The following is a 24485-nucleotide window of genomic DNA, read 5'->3' as shown; positions in this document are numbered from 1 at the left end:
TAGCCAGGCGTGGTGGCGCATGCCTGTAATCCCAGCTACTCGGGAGGCTGAGGCAGGAGAATTGCTTGAACCCGGGAGGTGGAGGTTGCGCTGGGCCGAGGTCGTGCCATTTCACTCCAGCCTGGGCAACAAGAGTGAAATTCCATCTCAAAAACAAAAAACAAACCAACAAAAAAATTAGCTGGGCATGGTAATGCGTGCCTGTAGTCCCAGCTACTCGGGAGTCTGAGGCACGAGAATCACTTGAACCTGGGAGGTGGAGGTTGCAGTGAGCCGAGATTGTGCTACTGCACTCCAGCCTGGGCAACAGAGTGAGACTTCATCTCAAAAAAAAAAAAAAAAAAAAAAATCCAGAAAATGTGGAAATAACAGTCAAAGGGGGCCAACAGTCTTCTGGTGGTCACTTGGGGGAGCCATGAAGACAAAGGAAGACCAGGGTCCTTTTACACTCCTGCCTGGGACTCTCCAGACTCACTCTGCTCCTGGGCTCTGGGCCACGCCATCTCCTAGCTTTGGACCCTCCCAGACATGCTTTTTGCCCTTCTGTCTCCTACCTTTGCTCACACCATTGCCTTCTCCTGGGATGTCTTTCTATCCCATGTCTGCTCATTCAAACATACACATCCCCCCTTTAAGTCCAAGTTCAGACATTACTTCTCCTTGAAGCAGCCCCTGATTAATAACCAGAGTTATGTGCCCTTTAGGGGATGCCTTGTTTCTGCTTCCCTGGCATCCACTCCCTTCCCCTCTTTGGCCTTGTATTGTGGTTGTTGCTCTCCACCTCTCCTCCTAGACTGGAGGATGTAACCCGGGACGGGATCATGCTTGATCCTTGTCTCAGCCCTATAGGGCCCTGTAGGGTCAAGCACAGTGTCTGACCCCAATGCCTGCATGTTCATTGTCAACACTGACCTCTATTATGGCACTTTTCACTGTGTGTATCTGTTTACGTGTCTTTCTGTCCTGATAAACCGTAAGCCTCCATTGAGGGCCTACCAGGTGCAAGCGACCAGGGTTGCAAAGATAAACGAACCACAGTCCCAGACTTCGGGGACAGCTCCCACTAGAAGAACAAGTACTTGCCAGCATTATTATAAATGGGCCAGCAGCTGCATGTCCAGGGACAATGAGGAACAAAGGGCAGAGGTTGGTGCTGCCTTTTAGCACAGTCAGGTCAGAGCAAGGTCTTGAAAGATGAGCAGATTTGTGGGCCCAGGGATTCTTGGGGAGGAACTGGAGATTGTCTGCATGGTGAGGTGGACCAGCCCATGTAGTTGGAAAATGCAGACTTGTGTCTCACCAACCTGTATCCCAGGTATTAGCGATCCTTGCTGTGGAATAGATGTGCAGAAAATGTTTGTTGACCAACTAAGTGACTGACGGAATGAACTCTTTAATTCTTTAAGGGTGGAGAATAATCATAACTCATTTTTCTTCTGGTGAATTTTGTTTATTTATTTATTTATTTATTTACTTACTTACTTATCATGGAGTCTCGCTCTGTCGCCCAGGCTGGAGTGCAATGGGGCGATCATGGCTCACTGCAAACCCTGCCTCCCAGGTTCAAGCCATTCTCCAGCCTCAGCCTCCCAAGTAGCTGGGACTACAGGCATGCGCCACCACGCCTGGCTAATTTTTGTGTTTTTGGTAGAGATAGAGTTTCACCATGTTGGCCAGGATGGTCTTGAACTCCTGATGTCAAGTAAGCGACAGCCTCAGCCTCCCAAAGTGCTGGGATTACAGGTGCAAGCCACCATGCCCGGCCTCTCCTGGTTAATTTTAGATGGCCTCCCAGGTTTCACAATATTTTTGCTCAATTTTCCCATACATGCCTTGTCCTATAGTCAACTGTGGAGCTTGTTACCTATGGGGTTCTTGGGTCTCTTTCATGCAGATTCAGATTCAGTGGGTCTGGGGTGGGATCCAGAATCTGTTGAACACATGTCCTAGAAAGTCCTTATGATCGGGCAAGTTTGGGTGACTGCTGCTAGCAGGAAGGTAAGCATGACCTGGGTGCTTATTAAAAATAGATACTCTTGGGCCTGGTGCGGTGGCTCACGCCTGCAATCCCAGCACTTTGGGAGGCCGAGGCGGGTGGATCACCTGAGGTTGGGAGTTCAAGACCAGCCTGACCAACATGGAGAAACCTTCCATCTCTACTAAAAATACAAAAATCAGCCAGGCGTGGTGTCATGCGTCTGTAGTCCCAGCTACTCAGGAGGCTGAGGCAGGAGAATCACTTGAACCTGGGAGGTGGAGGTTGCGGTGAGCTGAGATCATGCCGCTGCACTCCAGCCTGGGCAACGAGAGTGAAACTCCATCTCAAAAAACAAAACAAAACAAAAACATACTCTTGCCAGGCACGGTGGTTCATGCCTGTCATCCTAGCACATTGGGAAGCTGAGGTGGGAGGATCATTTGAGCCTAGGCATTCAAGACCAGCTTGGACAACATAGGGAGACCCCATCTCTACAAATAATAATACTAAAAATAGCCAGGCACGGTGGTGTGCCCCTGTGGTCTCAGCCACTTGGGAGGCTGAGGTGGGAGGATCGCCTGATCTCGGGCAGTCAAGGCTACAGTGAGCCACAACTGTGCTACTGCACTCCAGCCTGAGTGACAGAGTGAGACCCTGTCTCAAAAAAGCCAAAAAAAAAAAAAAAACCCCACAAAAACCCAGTCCTTGAAATGAGCAGAACATGGTGGCATGCACCTGTAATCCCAGCTACTCAGGAGGCTGAAGTGAGAGGATCGTTTGAACCTAGGAGTTCAAGGCTGCGGTGAACTGTGATTATGCCACTGCACGCCAGCCTGGGTAACATAGCAAGACCCCATCACTAAAAAAAAATAAAGGTCCTGAAATCCACTCAAACCTATTGCCGAGTCTTCAGAGCAGGAGGCGTTGTGTTTAATGGGCTCTCCATCACACTGGTTGGGGGGCGCATTGCTTCAGCCCAGTGGGTTTCAAGCCTGGCTGCTCATTAGGGTCCTGAGGAGCTGTAAAATGGCCTGAGGTGGGGTCCCAGTATCTGTTTTCCTCGCAAGCTCCCCAGATAATTCTGGTATGTGCTCAGGGCTGAGGACTACTGCAAGCGCCTAGGACTTTGGCCCTTCTGGCAGGCTGGTGGGCATTGTAGCCCAGGTGGATCCCCAGCACCCCTCAAGTCATGTGCTGTGGATCAGTGTTCCTCACAGCTAGCTGTACATTAGAGCCACCTGGGAGTGCTTTTAAACTCCCAATACCCAAGGCTCCACCTAGACCAATTAAATTAGAACCTACCTGGCGGGGGTGGGAGGGCAGAGTGGAGAGGCCCAGCCTTATTCTCTTTGAAAAGCTTCCTGGGTGTCTCTGACAGGTGGCCAGGGTGAGGTCCTCGGAGCATGGGTGCATGTGGAAGGTAAGTTGGATGGTGCAGAAGCAGCCGCAGTTGAAGCGTTTGTAAACCTCTGATGACAGGCGGGGACAGCCTTTTTTTTTTTTTTTTTTTTTTTTAAGCTGTAACTATTTTTTTTTTATTATTATACTTTAAGTTTTAGGGTACATGTGCACATTGTGCAGGTTAGTTACATATGTATACATGTGCCATGCTGGTGCGCTGCACCCACTAACTCGTCATCTAGCATTAGGTATATCTCCCGATGCTATCCCTCCCCCCTCCCCCCACCCCACCACAGTCCCCAGAGTGTGATATTCCCCTTCCTGTGTCCATGTGATCTCATTGTTCAATTCCCACCTATGAGTGAGAATATGCGGTGTTTGGTTTTTGTTCTTGCGATAGTTTACTGAGAATGATGATTTCCAATTTCATCCATGTCGCTACAAAGGACATGAACTCATCCTTTTTTATGGCTGCATAGTATTCCATGGTGTATATGTGCCAAATTTTCTTAATCCAGTCTATCATTGTTGGACATTTGGGTTGGTTCCGAGTCTTTGCTATTGTGAATAATGCCGCAATAAACATACGTGTGCATGTGGGGGACAGCCTTTTTAACAGCCTTGGTTTTAAGAGTCAGAATTTAGCACAACCGCCAGATTCAATAAACCTGCACTTCTGCTCTTAAAAATGGCTACAAGAGGCCTCCCCACCAGAGGCCCTCTCCAGGCCATCATTTCATTATGTATTCAGTGTTTTTGTAACTGATCCATCAGTCAATTGGTAAAAATGCCAAGGAGAAAACTTTGTTTAATGATCATGCATCTCTTTGACTTTGTTACCATAATTTCTGGGGGAGCGACAATTACCTTGTGTCTGGCTGTTCTTCCTCTGAGTGCAGCATCCTTCCAGCTGGTTTAGAGGGAACATCAGTCTCCCTCCCTCCTTCTGCGGGACTGTCACTTACTGCATGCTGATGTCCAGCCTCTGTGTGGGCTTTGGGACCACAGCCGGAATGTCAGATTTAGGAATCCGCTCATTCGTGTGTTTGTTCATTCAACAAATCTCTGTCAGTGCCTTCTATGTTCTGGACACTGCACCAGGTGTTAAAGTGTAAAAGCTGCCATTCTAGAGATACGCCTAAAACACTAAAGGAGAACAGAGAAGTGAGGAATTAATTCTGGGATGTGCGTGAGTGTCTTGGGAAGTCTTCTCCAAGGAGTGACATTTGTCCTGGGTCTTGAAGGGTGAATAGGAGCCATGCTGAAAAGGGATCATAACTCTCAAGGCAGCGTTTCTCAGCCTTGCCGGATGAGTAGAAGCACCTGGTGGGGGGGCCCAGGCCACAGTCCAGACCATCCAATAAGGACCTCTGGGGGTGAGACCCAGGCATCAGTGTTTTTTAAAGCTTCCCGGATGATTCCAAAGAGCAGCCATGGTTGGAAACCATGCATTAGGGGAATGGAAGTAGAGGTTGCCTAAATGTGCACACACACACACACACACAATTAGGGTAGGCTTGAAGGTAAACTTCCAAAGACTGTCAGTCCATAGCCTTCTCCCCAGCCCCTCCTGTGTGTTCCAGAGGAATAAAAGGACATGGGTTTTGGAGGCAGACGGATCATGTGCTGACTGCTGTAAGATAGCATGTGACCATCGAGGCAGTCGATAATTTGATAAGTGTTTATTGAGTGCTTACTATGTGCTAGGTGCTGGGAACCCAGCAGGGAATATCATCAAGTCCTTGCTCTCAGGGAGCTCACTGCCTATGGCAGAAGATGGATAGACATACATTTCTCAGGCAGTGTTAGAAGGAGGGACACAGAGTTACGGGAGCCCCCAGGAGGGGTATCTGGTGCAGTCTTGTGGGGTTAGGGAGACTTCCTCTCAGAGGAAGTGGCCGCAAGGAGATACCACAAAGGAGTGGAGGAAAGAGATGGAAACATAAGTAGAGGAAACTACATGTGCAAAAGCCTAGAGGCAAGAGTGAGTATGGAGAACTCAGAAATAGCAAGTATTGACTCTATGTGAAATGTGACGTTGGGGAGGGATAAAAGAGAACTGGAAAAAACAGGCAGGGCCAGATCATAAAAGGCCTTAAAAGCCGAAGTGGGGAGTCTGTACTTTATCCCGATGACAATGGGGAGCTCCCGGAAGTAGAGCAGTGCCTTCAGGGATGAGTTTATCTGTGCAGTGTGACTAGATGGAAGGGATGCTGCAGGCATCCTCATGAGAGATGATGGTGGTCTGGGATCAGGTAGTGACAGTGGGGATGGAGAGAAGTGGACAGAGTCAAGAGACTGAGCATTTCTGGAGCTCTCTCTGCACAGTTCTCTCCTCTCTGGTACTCTGTCCTGTGAGATCCAGCTGCCTTTCCTTTGCTGCGTTGTGGCCTGAAAACCCGAGCTGTAACTGGACAACTGGGGGGCTTGCCTGGTCTGTTTCCCCCTACTCAGGAATCACTGTCCTTTGTTAACCATGTCCAATGCCCTGAAAACTCTTGTTTCATATATTTTGTCTGTTTTTTGGTTGCTTCAGTCAGGAGTATAAATCTGGTCTCTATTATTTCACCTTGATTGGAAGTGAAAGTCCTTCTATTTCATTTTTCTATATAAGAATTATTTAAGAAAGTTTGGCTGGGCACAGTGGCTCACGCCTGTAATCCCAACACTTTGAGAGGCTGAAGCGGGTGGATCACTTGAGGCCAGGAGTTTGAGATCAGCCTGGCCAAGATGACGAAACCTGGTCTCTACTAAAAATACAAAAATTAGCCAAGCATGGTGGCATACACTTGTAGTCCCAGCTACTTGGGAGGCTGGGCAGGAGAATCACTTGAACCCAGGAAGCGGACGTTGCAGTGAGCCGAGATCACTCCCACTGCACTCCAGCTTGGGCAATAGAGCAAGACTCTGTCTAAAAATAAAAATAAATAAAAAAAAAATAGGGAAAGAATTCTAGATGGTAGGAACAGGGTGATCAAAGGCTCAGAATCAGAGACGGGAAAATGCAGGCCTTTTCAGAGGGGCATATGCTGTCTGATATTGCGTTGGCTTGGCATTCTCAGTGGGGCTAGGCAGAGAACAGTGGAAAGCTACACTGGGATGGAATGTGGCAGGTCTTAAAGGAGAGGCAAAAAATATTGTATTGTGAAGGCAATGGGGAGCCATGGAAGGTTCTTGAGTAGAGAGGGGGAATAGCATGGTTTTTTTTTTTTGCCTGCCAGGCAAGTAGTTTTGACAGAAGAGCTAGCCTCAGTATAGTTCAAAGGTCCAGTTTTAGGGCTGGTTTCAGAAGTTGAGATCTAGTGGATACCTTAAAAGAACTGGTATAAAAACTTTTTATTATAGGCCAGGTGCAGTGGCTCATGCTTATAATTCCAACACTTGGGAAGGCAGAGGTGGGAGGACTACCTGAGGCAGGAGTTTGAGACCAGTATGGGCAACATAGCAAGACCCTGTCTCTACAAAAAACAAGAACAAAACTAATCAGGCATGGTGGCGCACACTTGTAGTCCTAACTATTCAGGAGGCTGAGGAGGGAGGATTGCGTGCGCTCGGGAGGTTGAGGCTTCAGTGAGCTATGATCGCGCTGGAGTGCAGCCTGGACAACAGAGTGAGACCTTGTCTCAAAGAAACAAACAAAACCAAACAAAACCACAATACCATTTTCACACCTACAAAAAATGAACATATTCTCTAATATCATGAAATCTCTATTAAGATGTTCATATTCTAATTGTATTATAATTTTGATGACTTTTACACATAAAATTTGTTTTAAAACACTTTAAGTTTCCTTCTTCCATCTAAGAAGATGTCACACTCATCTAGAGACCAGCTCAAGTTCGGCTCAGGGAACATTTAGGTCTTCCTACTGTGTTGCGGTTCACTGACTTTGGAAGTTTCACTGACGATGGTGGAAGTAACGAGTTACAGCACTGGTCCCATCTCGCACTGAGTTGGGTTCAAGCACATCTGGTGAACTAGTGGGGCATCTCTGCACAGTGAACCCGTTAAAGGAAGTGTCAGGAACCAGCCTTGACAGCTTGGCCTAGCAAGCGGAGCAAGGAGTGATGCTGGGTACTGTGTGGCCACTGTCCCTCTGATTTGTCCCTTGGCTTTGTCTCATTTTGAGTGAAAACTGTGAGGACAAATTCTAAAACTGTTTAAGATGTTGGGGGCATGAGCGGAGTAGAGTTGGTACCCCCATAAGAGAAAGGCGGGGAGTGGTGTGGTGCTCTCCACCAGACCCCCTTGGTCAGAGACTGGTAAGGTGGGCAGAGGAGGGGGCAGGATTTCTGTAGGTGCAGTGTCATCACAGGGGAATCCCTGGAGCCAGAGGAGGGGAAATCCCTTCAAACACCACCCAGACACTACCCCGCTTGTTTGTGAGCACATTGGAGATGGCCCCTGGGGAATGCAAGCTACTTGATGAAGGTAGGGAAGTACTGAACACGACTCTGTGAAGGTTCTTATTACCCCACCTTCCATGTGTGAGAACTGAGTTCAAATGGAGGGAAGAGTCACGCAACCAGGAAGCAAGGTGTCTTTTCATTTTTATTTATTTACTTATTTATTTTTTGAGACAGAGTCTCACTCTGTTGCCCAGGCTGCAGTGCATTGGCATGATCTGGGCTCACTGCAACCTCTGCCTGTGGGTTCAGCCTCCCAAGTAGCTGGGATTACAGGTGTGCACCACCACACCCAGCTAATTTTTGTATTTTTATTTATTATTTGTTTATTTATTTATTGAGATGGGGTCTTGCTCTGTTGCCCAGGCTGGAGTGCAGTGGTATAATCTCAGCTCACTGCAACTTCTGCCTCCCCGGCTCAAGTGATCCTCCTACCTCGGCCTCCTTAGTAGCTGGGACTACAGGCCTACTCCAACATGCCTGCTAATTTTTTGTATTTTCAGTAGCGACGGGGTTTTACCATGTTGCCCAAGCTGGTCTTGTGAACTCAAGTGATCTGCCCGCCTCGGCCTCTCAAAGTGTTGGGATTACAGGCGTGAGCCACTGTGTCTGGTCATGAGATGTGTTTAAATTCAAAGCCATCCTTCTCTCACTCTAATAATGGTTGCCACACAGAAGGGGAATGCTTTAGGAGAAGAATGCTGATGGGCTGAGTCTGTATCAGGGACCATCTGGAGACCATAAGCTGTTGCTCATCTTAACCTTCAAAACCATTCTATGAGGTCACTTTTATCCTTATTCTACAGATAGGGAAATGAGGCTCAGTTTTACTAACTTCAAAGCTCACAGTCATGGTCAAAATAGTTCATTGGATATTTCTTGGGAACATTTGGCTTTGGTTCGTGGTTCAGGAAAAAAATTGTCTTTAGATTTTCATTTCAGGGTTCAGAGAGGCTGGTTCTTTCTCATTTGGGGTTCAAGATTTAGTTTGAATATTAGGCCCTAGGAGCCTCTGGTTCTTCATAAGTGTTAAATAGATTAAATGCCATAAAGGTGACATTGAGATACTTGGGCATGTTGGGGCAGTGAGCTTTGGCTCTGGCCCGTGGCTCTAGGAGGATGGTAGCTGGTATCCATCGAGATGGATGGTGGCTGTGGGGTGTGAATGCTGAGTGATGACTTGTATTAAAGTGGATGTGGGCAAATAAAAATGAATTTTGCTTGGAACCACTTTTTATCAGGTGGCTTTCCATGCAGGATGATGTTTCACATGCATAGGCAACCTGGACCTGAGCTGGGGTGGAGTTGGGGCAGACGAGCTGTGTCTTCTCTGCCCTTTCTGATTCCAGGGCGAGGGCTGTGCCAGGAAGTGCTTCTCAGCCACTTCTCCTTAGGCACCTTTAAAGGAGCCTTTCCCCACCCCAGTCTGACTCAGAAAGTGGGGAGAAATGCCAGAGGCAGATGGAGCCAGGCACAGGCCCGGGCAAAACGTGTGAGGCTGAGTGTTTCCAACAGCAAGACACTGGAAGTGATGCAAGTGCTCAGCAGTCAAAAAGGAGAGGATGAAAGCATTCCAGTGCCCAGCCTGCACCTCAGTTGTTGTAATCACGATTCCCTGCCTCCAGTCTGGCAACTCCCCCAGCCATCATTTAATCACTCAGCAAGTATCTATCAAGCACTTATCCTGTACTGGGAAGGGCATGTTGACTGCTACTTGCTCAGCCCCCTGTTTCATTCCCCTGTGACCCTCGAAGATTCCTTTAAGTGACCAGGCAAGCCCTCCATGCCACCACTCCCTAAAAGTAGGCTCCATCTGGGCGGCTTCAGTGTGCAACCTACACAACTGTACACAGGAGCCCTGCCTCAGGCACCCATGGTGTCAATCACAGTCTTACTGCACATATAAGTACTCTGTAAACTGCATGAAGGTTAGGCTATTCCTCTTACTACTATTGTATGAGACGTCTGGGATCCTGTTCTAGAAATGTTCCTGTCATATCTCAATAGACCCCAAGAATTGTCTCCTTGTCTGAAATTTCCTGCAGTCAGCAAGCTTCCTCTCTAGGGTTCCAGGACCTTAGAATCCCCCTCTTCCCCAGCCTCTGCCTTCACTTCCTGCATCCACACAGGGGAAGGGAAGGGAACCCATGCCCTTTTATGTGTCAGGCCCATGCTGAGAAATTTACAGAGTATTCTATTTAATTTTCAACAACTTCTAGAGAAGTAGGTATTGCCACCCCCATTTTAGGATAAACTGAGATTTTTTTCTTTTTTTTTTCTTTAGGGAGAAACTGAAGCTCAAAGACATGAAATCATTTTCTTTAGATCATGCGTATGTGAAGTGGCAGACCCGGATTTGAACTTGAATTCCGTAAGACTTCAAACCCTGAAACTGTGTAGCTTCATATCCTGGCTCTTCTGCCTACTATTGTGTGTACCTTGGGAAATTACTAAATCTCTTGATGCTTCTCTTTCAATCTTGGTAAAATGAGGGCGATAATAATTCTTGCCTCTCCAGGCAGTTAGGAGGATCAAAGGAGTTGAAACAAGTAAAACACTGTGAGACCGGCACACTCAATGAATATTGGCTCTTATCATCATCATCATCATCATCATCATCATCATCATCATCATCATCATTATTACTATTACTTCTCCAAGACACTTACATGACTTGGGATAATTGTTACATTTATAGAAGCAGCCCCAGGATTAAATGCTTCTTCGTCTTGGAAGCCTTGGGCCAATTTGATAACAACGGGCTTTGTATTTTCAAATATGAGAAATATCTAGAATAAACTCCCAAATGTCACAGTGGAGACTCTGTCCAGGCCGGTGATGACTCTTCCAGAGCAGCACAGGGGAGATGAGGGTGTTTTCCAGTGATGTGATTGGGTCACACAGGCCTCAAGTCATCTCTGAAAGAAATAAAAGGGAACTTGGATTTGAAAGGACATGGTGGGTCTTAAGAGATCTCTGCTTATGGTTTAAAAATTGTGTCCAATTTTCATTGCTCCATTGATTTGCGCTTCTTGGAGTTGGTTGGATGAAGTCCTCCTTAGAGGCAGGGGAATGGATTGGATGTTCGGTCCCTATGACTTCTCTCCTGTATTTTCTTCATGCTTTGAAATAATAATCCATTTCATAGTATAGTGGGTTCAGATGGCAGATCATAGACTCAGGTATTGTGGACAGACCAATCATTGTGTCCACAGCTTGACCCTGGTGGAAGGCTGTAACCCTGATGGCAAAGCCCTGGAGTCTCCCAAACCAGTCAGGGGTCCCTGCCTCTTCCCAACTTCTTTTTTTATTATTATTTTTTTATTTTTTTATTGTCCTTCACTTCCTTTTTTTAAATTATACTTTAAGTTTCAGGGTACATGTGCACAACGTGCAGGTTTGTTACATATGTATACATGTGCCATGTTGGTGTGCTGCACCCATTAACTCGTCATTTACATTAGGTATATCTCCTAATGATATCCCTCCTCCCTCCCCCCACCCCACAACAGGCCCCAGTGTGTGATGTTCCCCTTCCTGTGTCCATGTGTTCTCATTGTTCAATTCCCACCTATGAGTGAGAATATGCGGTGTTTGGTTTTTTGTCCATTTCTCAGTTTGCTGAGAATGACGGTTTCCAGCTTCATTCATGTCCCTACAAAGGACATGAACTCATCATTTTTTATGGCTGCATAGTATTCCATGGTGTATATGTGCCACATTTTCTTAATCGAGTCTATCATTGTTGGACATTTGGGTTGGTTCCAAGTCTTTGCTATTGTGAATAGTGCCACAATAAACATACGTGTGCATGTGTCTTTATAGCGGCATGGTTTATAATCCTTTGGGTATATGCCCAGTAATGGGATGGCTGGGCCAAATGGTATTTCTAGTTCTAGATCCCTGAGGAGTCGCCACACTGTCTTCCACAATGGTTGAACTAGTTTACAGTCCCACCAACGTGTAAAAGTGTTCCTATTTCTCCACATCCTCTCCAGCACGTGTTGTTTCCTGACTTTTTAATGATCGCCATTCTAAGTGGTGTGAGATGGTATCTCATTGTGGTTTTGATTTGCATTTCTCTGATGGCCAGTGATGATGAGCATATTTTCATGTGTCTTTTGGCTGCATAAATGTCTTCTTTTGAGAAGTGTCTGTTCATATCCTTCACCCACTTGGTGATGGGTTGTTTTTTTCTTGTACCTTTGTTTGAGTTCATTGTAGATTCTGGATATTAGCCCTTTGTCAGATAAGTAGATTGCAAAAATTTTCTCCCATTCTGTAGGTTGCCTGTTCACTCTGATGGTAGTTTCTTTTGCTGTGCAGAAGCTCTTTAGTTTAATTAGATCCCATGTGTCAATTTTGGCTTTTGTTGCCATTGCTTTTGGTGTTTTAGACATGAAGTCCTTGTACATGCCTATGTCCTGAATGGTATTGCCTAGGTTTTCTTCTAGGGTTTTTACGGTTTTAGGTCTAACATTTAAGTCTTTAATCTATCTTGAATTAATTTTTGTATAAGATGTAAGGAAGGGATCCAGTTTCAGCTTTCTACATATGGCTAGCCAGTTTTCCCAGCACCATTGATTAAATAGGGAATCCTTTCCCCATTTCTTGTTTTTGTCAGGTTTGTCAAAGATCAGATAGTTGTAGATATGTGGAATTATTTCTGAGGGCTCTGTTCTGTTCCATTGGTCTATATCTCTGTTTTGGTACAAGTACCATGCTGTTTTGGTTACTGTAGCCTTGTAGTATAGTTTGAAGTCAGATAGCGTGATGCCTCCAGCTTTGTTCTTTTGGCTTAGGATTGACTTGGCAATGCAGGCTCTTTTTTGGTTCCATATGAACTTTAAAGTAGCTTTTTCCAATTCTGTGAAGAAAGTCATTGGTAGCTTGATGGGGATGGCATTGAATCTATAAATTACCTTGGGCAGTATGGTCATTTTCACCATATTGATTCTTCCTACCTATGAGCATGGAATGTTCTTGCATTTGTTTGTATCCTCTTTTATTTCGTTGAGCAGTGGTTTGTAGTTCTCCTTGAAGAGGTCCTTCACATCCCTTGTAAGTTGGATTCCTAGGTATTTTATTCTCTTTGAAGCAATTGTGAATGGGAGTTCACTCATGATTTGGCTCTCTGTTTGTCTGTTATTGGTGTATAAGAATGCTTGTGATTTTTGCACGTTGATTTTGTATCCTGAGACTTTGCTGAAGTTGCTTATCAGCTTAAGGAGATTTGGGGCTGAGACGACGGGGTTTTCCAGATATACAATCATGTCATCTGCAAACAGGGGCAATTTAACTTCCTCTTTTCCTAATTGAATACAATTTATTTCCTTCTCCTGCCTGATTGCCCTGGCCAGAACTTCCAACACTATGTTGAATAGGAGAAGTGAGAGAGGGCATCCCTGTCTTGTGCCAGTTTTCAAAGGGAATGCTTCCAGTTTTAGCCCATTCAGTATGATATTGGCTGTGGGTTTGTCATAGATAGCTCTTATTATTTTGAGATACGTCCCATCAATACCTAATTTATTGAGAGTTTTTAGCATGAAGTGTTGTTGAACTTTGTCAAAGGCCTTTTCTGCATCTACTGAGATAATCATGTGGTTTTTGTCTTTGGTTCTGTTTATATGCTGGATTACATTTATTGATTTGTGTATGTTGAACCAGCCTTGCATCCCAGGGATGAAGCCCACTTGATCATGGTGGATAAGCTTTTTGATGTGCTGCTGGATTTGGTTTGCCAGTATTTTATTGAGGATTTTTGCATCGATGTTCATCAGGGATAGTGGTCTAAAATTCTCTTTTTTTGTTGTGTCTCTGCCAGGCTTTGGTATCAGGATAATGCTGGCCTCTTAAAATGAGTTAGGGAGGATTCCCTCTTTTTCTATTGATTGGAATATTTTCAGAAGGAATGGTACCAGCTCCTCCTTGTACCTTTGGTAGAATACGGCTGTGAATCCATCTGGTCCTGGACTTTTTTTTGTTGGTAGCCTATTAATTATTGCTTTAATTTCAGAGCCTGTTATTGGTCTATTAAGAGATTCATCTTCTTCCTGGTTTAGTCTTGGAAGGGTCTATGTGTCGAGGAATTTATCCATTTCTTCTAGATTTTCTAATTTATTTGCATAGAGGTGTTTATAGTATTCTCTGATGGTAGTTTGTATTTCTGTGGGATCGGTGGTGATATCCCCTTTATCATTTTTTATTGCGTCTATTTGATACTTCTCTCTTTTCTTCTTTATTAGTCTTGCTAGCAGTCTAACAATTTTGTTGACCTTTCGAAAAACCAGCTCCTGGATTCACTGATTTTTTGAAGGGTTTTTTGTGTCTCTATTTCCTTCAGTTCTGCTCTGATCTTAGTTATTTCTTGCCTTCTGCTAGCTTTTGAATGTGTTTGCTCTTGCTTCTCTAGTGCTTTTAATTATGATGTTAGGGTGTCAATTTTAGATCTTTTCTGCTTTCTCTTGTGGGCATTTAGTGCTATAAATTTCCCCCTACACACTGCTTTGAATGTGTCCCAGAGATTCTGGTATGTTGTGTGTTTGATCTCATTGGTTTCAAAGAATATCTTTATTTCTGCCTTCATTTCGTTATGTACCCAGTAGTCATTCAGGAGCAGGTTGCTCAGTTTCCATGTAGTTGAGTGGTTTTGAGTGAGCTTCTTAATCCTGAGTTCTAGTTTGATTGCACTGTGGTCTGAGAGATGGTTTGTTATAATTTCTGTTGTTTTACATTTGCTGAGGAGTGCTTTACTTCCAACTATGTGGTCAATTTTGGAATAGATGTGGTGTGGTGCTGAAAAGAATGTATATTCTGTTGATTTGGGGTGGAGAGTTCTGTAGATGCCTATTAGGTCCTCTTGGTGCTGAGCTGAGTTCAATTCCCGGATATCCTTGTTAACTTTCTGTCGCATTGATCTGTCTAATGTTGATAGTGGGGTGTTAAAATCTCCCATTATTATTGTGTGGGAGTCTAAGTCTCTTCATAGGTCTCTAAGGACTTGCTTTATGAATCTGGGTGCTCCTGTATTGGGTGCATATATATTTAGGATAGTTAGCTCTTCTTGTTACATTGATCCCTTTACCATTATGTAATGGCCTTCTTTGTCTCTTTTGATCTTTGTTGTTTAAAGTCTGTTTTAACAGAGAGTAGGATTTCAACTCCTGCCTTTTTTTGTTTTCCATTTGCTTGGTAGATCTTCCTCCATCCCCTTATTTTGAGCCTATGTGTGTCTCTGCATGTGAGATGATTTCCTGAATACCGCACACTGATGGGTCTTGACTCTTTATCCAATTTGCCAGTCTGTGTCTTTTAATTGGAGCATTTAGCCCATTTACCTTTAAGGTTAATATTGTTATGTGTGAATTTGATCCTGTCATTATGATGTTAGCTGGTTATTTTGCTCGTTAGTTGATGCAGTTTCTTCCAAGCATCGATGGTCTTTACAATTTGGCATGTTTTTGCAGTGGCTGGTACTGGTTGTTTCTTTCCATGTTTAGTGCTTCCTTCAGGAGCTCTTGCAAGGCAGGCCTGGTGTTGACAAAATCTCTTAGCATTTGCTTGTCTGTAAAGGATTTTATTTCTCCTTCACTTATGAAGCTTAGTTTGGCTGGATATGAAATTCTGGGTTGAAAATACTTTTCTTTAAGAATGTTGAATATTGGCCCCACTCTCTTCTGGCTTGTAGAGTTTCTGCCAAGAGATCAGCTGTTAGTCTGATGGGCTTCCTTTTGTGGGTAACCCGACCTTTCTCTCTGGAAGCCGTTAACATTTTTTCCTTCATTTCAACTTTGGCGAATCTGACAATTATGTATCTTGGAGTTGCTCTTCTCGAGGAATATCTTTGTGGCGTTCTCTGTATTTCCTGAATTTGAATGTTGGCCTACCTTGCTAGGTTGGGGAAGTTCTCCTGGATAATATCCTGCAGAGTGTTTTCCAACTTGGTTCCATTCTCCCCGTCACTTTCATGTACAACAATCAGAAGTAGATTTGGTCTTTTCACATAGTCCCATATTTCTTGGAGGCTTTGTTCATTTCTTTCTACTCTTTTTTCTCTAAACTTCTCTTCTTGCTTCATTTCATTCATTTAATCTTCAATCACTGATACCTTTCTTCCACTTGATCGAATTGGCTACTGAAGCTTGTGCATGTGTCACGTGGTTCTCGTGCCATGGTTTTCAGCGCCATCAGGTCATTTAAGGTCTTCTCTCTGCTGTTTATTCTAGTTAGCCATTTGTCTAATCTTTTTTCAAAGTTTTTAGCTTCTTTGCGATGGGTTCAAACATCCTCCTTTAGCTCGGAGAAGTTTGTTATTACAGATTGTCTGAAGACTTCTTCTCTCAATTTGTCAGTCATTCTCCATCCAGCTTTGTTCTGTTGCTGGTGAGGAGCTGCGTTCCTTTGGAGGAGAAGAGGTGCTCTGAATTTTAGAAGTTTCAGCTTTTCTGCTCTGGTTTCTCCCCATCTTTGTGGTTTTATCTACCTTTGGTCTTTGATGATGGTGACATACAGATGGGGTTTTGGTGTGGATGTCCTTTCTGTTTGTTAGTTTTCCTTCTAACAGTCAGGGCCCTCAGCTGCAGGTGTGTTGGAGTTTGCTGGAAGTCCACTCCAGACCCTGTTTGCCTGGGTATCATCAGCGGAGACTGCAGAACAGCAAATATTGCAGAATGGCAAATGTTGCTGCCTGATCCTTCCTCTGGAAGCTTCATCTCAGAGGGGCACCTGGCTGTATGAGGTGTCAGTTTGCCCCTAGTTGGAGGTGTCTCCCAGTTAGGCTACTTGGGGTTCACGGATCCACTTGAGGAGGCAGTCTGTCCGTTCTCAGATCTCAAACTCCATGCTGGGAGAACAACTACTCTGTTCAAAGCTCAGTTGGAAATGCAGAAATCACCTGTCTTCTGCATCACTCATGCTGGGTGCTGTAGACTGGAGCTGTTCCTATTCATCCATCTTGGAACTGCCAAAGCTGTGCAAATCTTAAATAACTTTCAAGAAGCTAAGTTTCTGCAAACTTCATGCCCGCCATCTGCCCATAAGTCAGCCCACAACTTTTGGAGAAAAATGGCTTCTCTTTTGCCTTCCAAAACTTGTTTGAATACTTCTCATTAACAGCCTTTAACCCAGAAACAAACAAAGGAGGAAGTCCTGGGTAATGTGCTTCTTGGTGTTCCTTCTACAAAGAAGGCAGTAGAAGGGGTGGCAACCATACTGAGTTGGAAAGATATAATCCAACAAGCTGCTGTGTCATCCTTGTCTGTGACAGCACCACCCATGTAGCAATCTGTAGTGGTTGAATAATTGAAAGAATATGTCCCTGGTCTTTGGTGGGGCCAAGATTTGAACCCTCAGCTGTCTGACTTCAAATCCCAGGCAGACTCATTTCAACACCAGCTGAACAAGCCATGACCTTAACCCAGGGGCCCAGGCTGGGACAGCTGACCAGTGAGTCCCCGACAGGGTCTGTGCTACAAATATGCCAGTGGAGCTACGCTTTTTGGGGACAGAAGCCATGAGAGAGGCAGGAGAATCCAAGGAGTTTTGATGTAGAAAGAGTGGGCTGGAGTGGAGGCACCAACACTCTGTGACCAATTCTCAGAAGATTCCTGGAGGTGGCATCACGAGAAGACTGGGTGGAGAGTGAGAAATGCTGTGGCTGCTCCAGGGTGGCCACCCTGATGGCGAAGGAGGGCTAGTGCCTCTCCCTGTGGGCCTGGGTATTTGGCCAGAAGTAACATTTGTGAGGTTAAAAAAACAATTGAAGTCTCTTGTTTTACCTCTTAAATTTATGTGAATTTTGTACTCTCTCCCACAATGTCTATGATTGCTTTATTATGAAAAGAAGGCCTTTCTGACTCATTTATTTTTCAGCAATGCTAATGTTCCAGGTGATGTGTTTGATTTAGTGGGGGTGGGGGGTGGGTGGGAGGCTCCTGGACCAGTTACTGCAGTGCCCAGCACACAATGAAAATGTGGGGCTCCCTTTTCAAAAATTGGAATTTCAAAGAAGCATGAGCTGAGCATCAAAAAGAGCATGGGGCCCTTCAGAGCATGGGCCCTGTGCAACTGGTAACAAACTATCACAAACTGGGCTTCTTCAAACAACATGGATTTATTTTCTCATAGTTCTGGAGGCCAGAAGTCTGAAATGGGTTTCACTGCGCTGAAATTAAGGTGTTGGCAGGGTTGCAACCCTCTGGTGGCTGTCGGGGAGAGAATCTGTTTCCTTGCTTCTCCCAACTCCTGGAGGCTGCCGGCATGCCTTGGTTCAGGGCCCCTTCCTTGCATCTCTTCAGCCTCTTGCTTCTGCATCTCCTGCTTCCTCTGTAGTTAAACCTTCTTTCTCTTGTAAATTCACTTGTGATTGCATTTAGGGCCCACCTGGATAATCCAAGATAATCTCAAACTTCTAAATTTAACCACATCTGCAAAATTCCTTTTGCATATAAGACCAAAGTTCACAGGTTCCAGTGATTAGGACTTGGATATCTTTGGGGATCATTATTCTGCCTCCCACACATGCCCTGAAGCCCTGCCAGGCTCCTTAGCTGAAATCTCTGGTTTGAAAGAGGCAGCTTTTGAGGCTCATGGCAGAAAGGGTGAGTGGCCTGCAAGGTGCCTGGGGCCACAGTGATGTGAGGGAGTGAGGGCAACACCCAGCCTGGAGCCTCCATGCTGGCTCCAGTGAGAGGAGAGCTGTGTTCAGTGGCCATGGGGATCCAGAAATTCAAGGTCTTTGGGCTGCCTCCTGATGAAGGTTGCCATATTTAGGAAATAAAAATACAGGACACCGAGATGTCTTATCTGGCCACCATGTCCCTGATTCCTGTGGTATACCATATGCCTTTAAGGGGTAGTGCTTAGACTTAGCCTCCTGGGCCTAGATGGGACCCCCCGGCCCCACCACAGTCATTCCACTCCCAGCCAGGCCTCAGGTAGGCAGCCAGGGTAAGAGAAGCTGGGCCTGAGTTTAAAGGCAGTCGGGGAGAGACCTCCAAGGTGACTGGGGAAGAGGACTGGGTTTGCTGATCTCAAGGATAACAACACTCCCTTAAAAGTACTGCACAACATTTCCTAGGTAATTGCTAACCGTCCTCCACCCCCTACAAAGATGGGCTGTCCTCCAGCTCTGGGGGGCCATGAGCCTTGAGTCATTGTGTGGCCCTCCAAGCATGAAAGGCAGCTCCTAAGTGCAGGATGCAGGGCTCCTGGAATAAACACCATGTTTTACTTCCTCTGCAAACACCGCACATCTGAGAAACTAATTTCCTTTTCTAGATATATCTTGCCCAGCTGTGCAGGCCCTTGGAGGGCTGAGGTTGGACTTAATAAAATAGAGGCAGTCAGGGCAGCAGGCCGTTCATGGCCCCCAGTGTTGCACTCCACCATCAGAACATCCCTATGTTCTGTGTGGATGCAGAGCTGAGGGCATGTCCAAGTTTACTTTCCTGAGATGGACCACAGAGAAACAGACTAAATGGTCCTTGTTCTTCTATTTACAGTATTTCAGAGATTCCAAGATGTCACATAATAATTGTAAGAAGCATTGGTTTTTCACGTGCCAACAACAAAAAAAGAAAAAAATGCTGCCATCTATGATATAGTATTAATTATAAGATGTACCCCAATTTCAGAATTGTTGAATTGTGAAAGGATGGACATCTCACAACCAATGAAATATGGTTTCTTTCTTTCTCGCTCTCTTTCTCTCTCTCTCTCTGTCTTTCTTTTTCTCTCTTCTTCTTCTTCTTTTTTTTTTTTTTTTTTGACAGAGTCTCTCTCTGTTGCCCAGGCTGGAAGGCAGTGGTGCGATCTTGGCTCACTGCAACCTCTGCCTCCTCGTTCAAGCGATTCTCCTGCCTCAGCCTCCCAAGTAGCTGGGATTACAGATGCATGCCACCATGCCCAGCTAATTTTTGTATTTTTTGTGGAGATGGGGTTTCACCATGTTGGCCAGGCTGGTCTCAAACTCCTGACAGGTGTTCCACCTACCTTGGCCTCCCAAAGTGCCGGGATTATAGGCATGAGCCACCACACCTGGCAGTATTATTTTCTTATTTCATAATACCATTGTATGATGTGTTATGATAGTTTTTGTTTTGTTTTGTTTTGTTTTGTTTTCTGAGACAGGGTCTTACTCTGTTGTCCAGGCTGGAGTACAGTGGGGTGATCATGGCTCACTGCAGCCTCGACCTCTTGGGCTCAAGCAGTCCTCTCATCTCTCAGCCTCTCTAGTAGCTGGGACTACAAGTGCGTGCCACCATGCCCGGATAATTTTTTGCATTTTTTTTGGTAGAGATGAGGTTTCACCGTGTTTCCCAGGCTGGTCTTAAACTCCTCAGCTCAAGTGATCCACCCACCTTGGCCTCCCAAATTGCTGGGATTACAGGTATGAGCCACTGCACCCAGCTTTATGATAGGTTTGTAGTCAGTGCTATGCTAGTGGAATAAAGCATGGAATAAAAATCATAACGATGACAATAATTCACTTATTTGCTTCTCTTTCTATAACTTGATTCTAGCCCTGTGGCATTGTCCTCCAAGTCTAGTTCACTTGTGGCGGGGTTCCCGGGGCTCAGGTTTCTCTGAGGGATCTCTGGCTCTGATTTATTTCTTTCACTAAATTATCCCCTCCACCCAAGCCTCATGTAGATAAGATTTCCACTGCTTCCTTAAAAAAATTATTGTAGTAAAATATACATAATAGAAAATTTACCATTTTAAAGTGTGTAATTCAGTGGCATTTAGTACATTTCCAAAGAATGCAAGGCAATGCGGGGAGCTGGCCTTTGACCAGGCACGTACTCTGTCCCAGGCCATCTTATGTGTCCTTCCAACTTAATTTTCTGAGAGCACGGCCGGTGGAAAATGCTCCCTAGTGAAGCAATCTGCTTTATTCATTCTACCCATTTAAATGTTAATCTCATCCCAAAACACCCGGAGTAATGTCTGACCAAATATCTGGGCACCTTGTGGCCCAGTAAAGTTGATGCATAAACTTGACTCACAGCCCCTTAGTGAAAAGTAGAGGAATGTAAGCCAGTGGCAGGTGACTGTCCAGGCTGAGGAGTTTATGGGAATCACTGAGCTTTTCCTGGCCTGGCACACAGCAGTCCCAGGACAATAACAGGCACCGTTATTTGTTCACAGCTGTAAGTCATTTGAGTTTCTTGCTGGCCATACCTGTTCTCACTGGCATCATTAACCACCTTGCCACCCTGTGCTCTGCTTGGCCTATTCTGGGTGGTTCCAGGAGTGAAATGAGGCCCAGGCAAAGCTGTCCAGTCAGGGAGGTAAGTGACATTCTCTACTTGCTCCTGGCTTCCCTTCCCAGGTGAGTGTTGTGGGGACACAGCTTGGGAGTCACAGCTGAATCTCCCTTCAGAGCTCCTGGGCCAGAGGAGGGTCGTGCTGTGTTCCTGGGTTCTAACTCTCCCACAAAAGGCTGCCCAGGAACAAGGGACTGGAACCTAGTGTGATCAGAGGATGGAAGGAGGCCAAGTCCTGCCTGGGCATTGTCTAGAGGGGCATCTCCGCTATCCAGGGTCAGTCAGTTGGGGGAGGATTAGGGTACACAGGACTCCTCTGGCTGTTTCTGTGTAGGGTGTCCCAACTTGCTGACCCCTGCCCAACCATCCCCTGCCCTTAGGTTCTGACCCTGGGCCTGCCATATCTTGCCTCTTGCTGCTACCATCCCACTGTGCTTTTCTGATCATCCATACGTGACACACTGACATTCAAGCTTCCCAGCAAAGTCATCCCTTCTGCCAAAGCAGGCTTGTGTGTCTCTTATGCTTGCTCCCACACTCTTAACCTGGGATTACAGGCATGAGCCATTGCACCCAGCCATGCCAAGCTCCTAGATCTTGGTTTCTAAACACCATCCTCCATTGAAATGAGCCAGGGCCTCTTGGAGAAGCAGCTGCTTCCAGAGATGCAGCAGGAAAAGGATGAGATGAACCTGAAACATCTTCTTGTGCCAGAAAGTGAGGGAGTGCTTGGATGGATGAGGACTTATGGAAAGGATATAGGGGTCAAATGGAAAGGACTTCCATTGGCCAAACCTGGGCAATTTGAGAATCAATATAAATAATGATAGTAATGAATAAAACCCATTGAGTAAAATAGGAATCCATGAGTCCATGTTGAAATAATTAAATTAACGAGTAAGTAAATGGAGAGAGAAGGGAAAGCTTTTTCTTGCAACAGATTGCCAACTAATAAATGCAGAAGGAATGGTGGAAATAAGAAAAATCAACATTAGGCAGCCATCGTAGTGGTGGTCGATTCAGGCTGGAGTTGTCAACCGATGCTGAGACTTGCAGGTGAAGATTTGAAGAAGCAGATATTGATGTAGTACTGGAATATTTCCCCAGAATATGTTAGTTACAAAGAGAAATATGGTAACTTTTTGGTAGAAAAACCTGGCAGACAACAGCTTGAGCAGGTGATCAAAGTTAACCTCGCTGGCAGTGCAGTGAGTTGACATCACGTACCTCCTGACTGAAGCATCGGGGCTTTTTTTTGTTTTGTTTTGTTTTTTTTGTTCTATTCCTGCCAAGAATGCATGGCCTGGGTCTTCCCATTGGGAAATTGAGCAGTTGTCCCCAGTTGAGAGTTATCTTATAAAATTAAAGACCTGTAAACTTAAAAACTATAAAGGAAAATTGTGAAAGAGAAGGAGAAACTTCCAGTTTGAAGGAGGTGTGAGGGCTGTGACAACTAAATGCAATGTGTTCCTAGATGATCAGATCGTGTATCAGAAATGAAAAAAAAGACCTGCTGGGAAAATCTGCCTGGGGATGGTGGATTGGATGGTGAGGTTGTGTCAATGTCAATTTCCTGATTTGGAAGTTTCGGTCATGTGTCCTTGTTTATAGGAAATACACTCAGGGTATTTAGGCACAACGGGCATTGTATCTGAAGCTCTCTCTCAGAAAACGACCAGTGATTCTATCCACTCTGTGTCTAGAGAGGGAGAACTCACATGGAAGTGAATGTGGAAAGATATAGCCGTCGGGAAACTTGGGAAACAGAAATATGGCAGTTCTTTGTATTATTCCTTATTTTTCTGTAAATCTGAAATTATTTCAAAATAAATTATTTATTTATTTATTTATTTTTTTGAGATGGAGTCTTGCTCTGTCACCCAGGCTGTGGTGCAGTGGCACAATCTTGGCTCACTGCAATCTCCACTTGCCGTGTTCAACCAATTCTCCTGCCTCAACCTCCCGAGTAGATGGGATTACAGGCATGCACCACCATGCCTGGCTAGTTTTTGTATTTTTAGTAGAGACGGGTTTTCACCATGTTGGCCAGGCTGGTCTTGAGCTCCTGACCTCATGATCTGCTGCCTCGGCCTCCCAAAGTGTTGGGATTACAGGTGTGAGCCACTGTGCCTGGCCCAGTTATTTTTTAAAAGATACAAAAAGCCCACTCATAATTTGACCAATCCATGCGTAACTGTGTAACATTTTAGAGCATTTCTTTCCAGTCGTGTGTGTGAATTTTTATGTAGTTTAAATCATGCTCTACATACAATTTTATATCCTACTGTATCATTTAACATGGTAACATAAACATTTTCCTGAGTGATAAGACAAACGCTCTCTAAACATTTTTTTTAATGGCTACATAATGCTCCACTGACAGGTTGTATCAGAACTTACCACTCCAACTATTGTTGGACAGTTTTCAGGTTATTTCATTAAAAAAATTATAAATCATACTGCAATGAGTATCTTTGATAATAAAGTTTTATATTTCTTTGCCTTACAACAGACTTCTAGAAATGAAATTACAAAATGATATGAATATCTTAAAACAATCGGCATATATAGCACCATGCTGCTTTTCTTTTTTGAGATGGAGTCTCACTCTGTCACCCAGGCTGGAGTGCAATGGCACGATCTTGGCTCACTGCAACCTCCAGCTCCCAGGTTCAAGCTATTCTCCTGCCTCAGCCTCCCAAGTAGCTGGGATTACAGGCATGCATCACCACGTCTGGCTAATTTTGTATTTTAGTACAGGTGGGGTTTCACCATGTTGGCCAGGCTGGTCTCAAACTCATGACCTCAGGTGATCCACCCACCTCAGCCTCCCAAAGTGTTGGGATTACCGGCGTGAGCCACAGCACCCAGCCACCGTATTGCTTTTCAAACCACATTAGCAATGCAATAATTCCCAACAGCAGTGAATGAGCACTAATTCCAGCACACCCTCACCAGCATTTAAAAATTCTTTACTCTTTTGATAGGTGAAGAGGGAGGACTTATTGTTTTATTGTGTGTTCCTTCAATTTCTGGAACTTGAACGTTTTACTAGTGGTTTGTGAAACCAGTTGTGGCTCTCTGTTGACATCACCATGGTTTTCATTAGCTTGTCTAGACTGGATGCTTCTCCTAGGACTGGGGCCATGTGACCTTTGTGTCTAGTGCAGAGCTCTCCTCTGAGGACCACCAGCATCTGGTGCCCATGCCTGGCGCTTTCTGGAACCATCTGACTTCAAAGTTGCTCATGTGCATGGCTGCCTTTCCTCTTGTCAGAGGCTGTTTAGGGAGCTGGTATCTCACTCAGCCTGGGCCATTTCCGAACTAGTCCTTCTGGTTAGTTCCAGCTCCCTGGCCTGGGAGCAACTCTTATCTACTTTCATTCTATTAGACTTTTCCCTCCTTTATTTTTCTCTTTTGAAAAATAAA

General features: G+C 45.0%; 1 annotated feature.

Moving 5' to 3' along the window:
• Nucleotides 9274–9774: an enhancer, noted in NCBI's record as "H3K27ac hESC enhancer chr17:30114922-30115422 (GRCh37/hg19 assembly coordinates)". NCBI's record gives its function as "activates a minimal SCP1, AML or CMV promoter by ChIP-STARR-seq in primed H9 embryonic stem cells {active_cell/tissue: H9 hESC(primed)}" and the evidence as "EXISTENCE:reporter gene assay evidence [ECO:0000049][PMID:30033119]".

This window comes from Homo sapiens, chromosome 17 (assembly GCF_000001405.40).
Source record: "Homo sapiens chromosome 17, GRCh38.p14 Primary Assembly".
Taxonomy (NCBI): Eukaryota; Metazoa; Chordata; class Mammalia; order Primates; family Hominidae; genus Homo; species Homo sapiens.
This window is presented reverse-complemented; position numbering and strand designations above follow the sequence as displayed.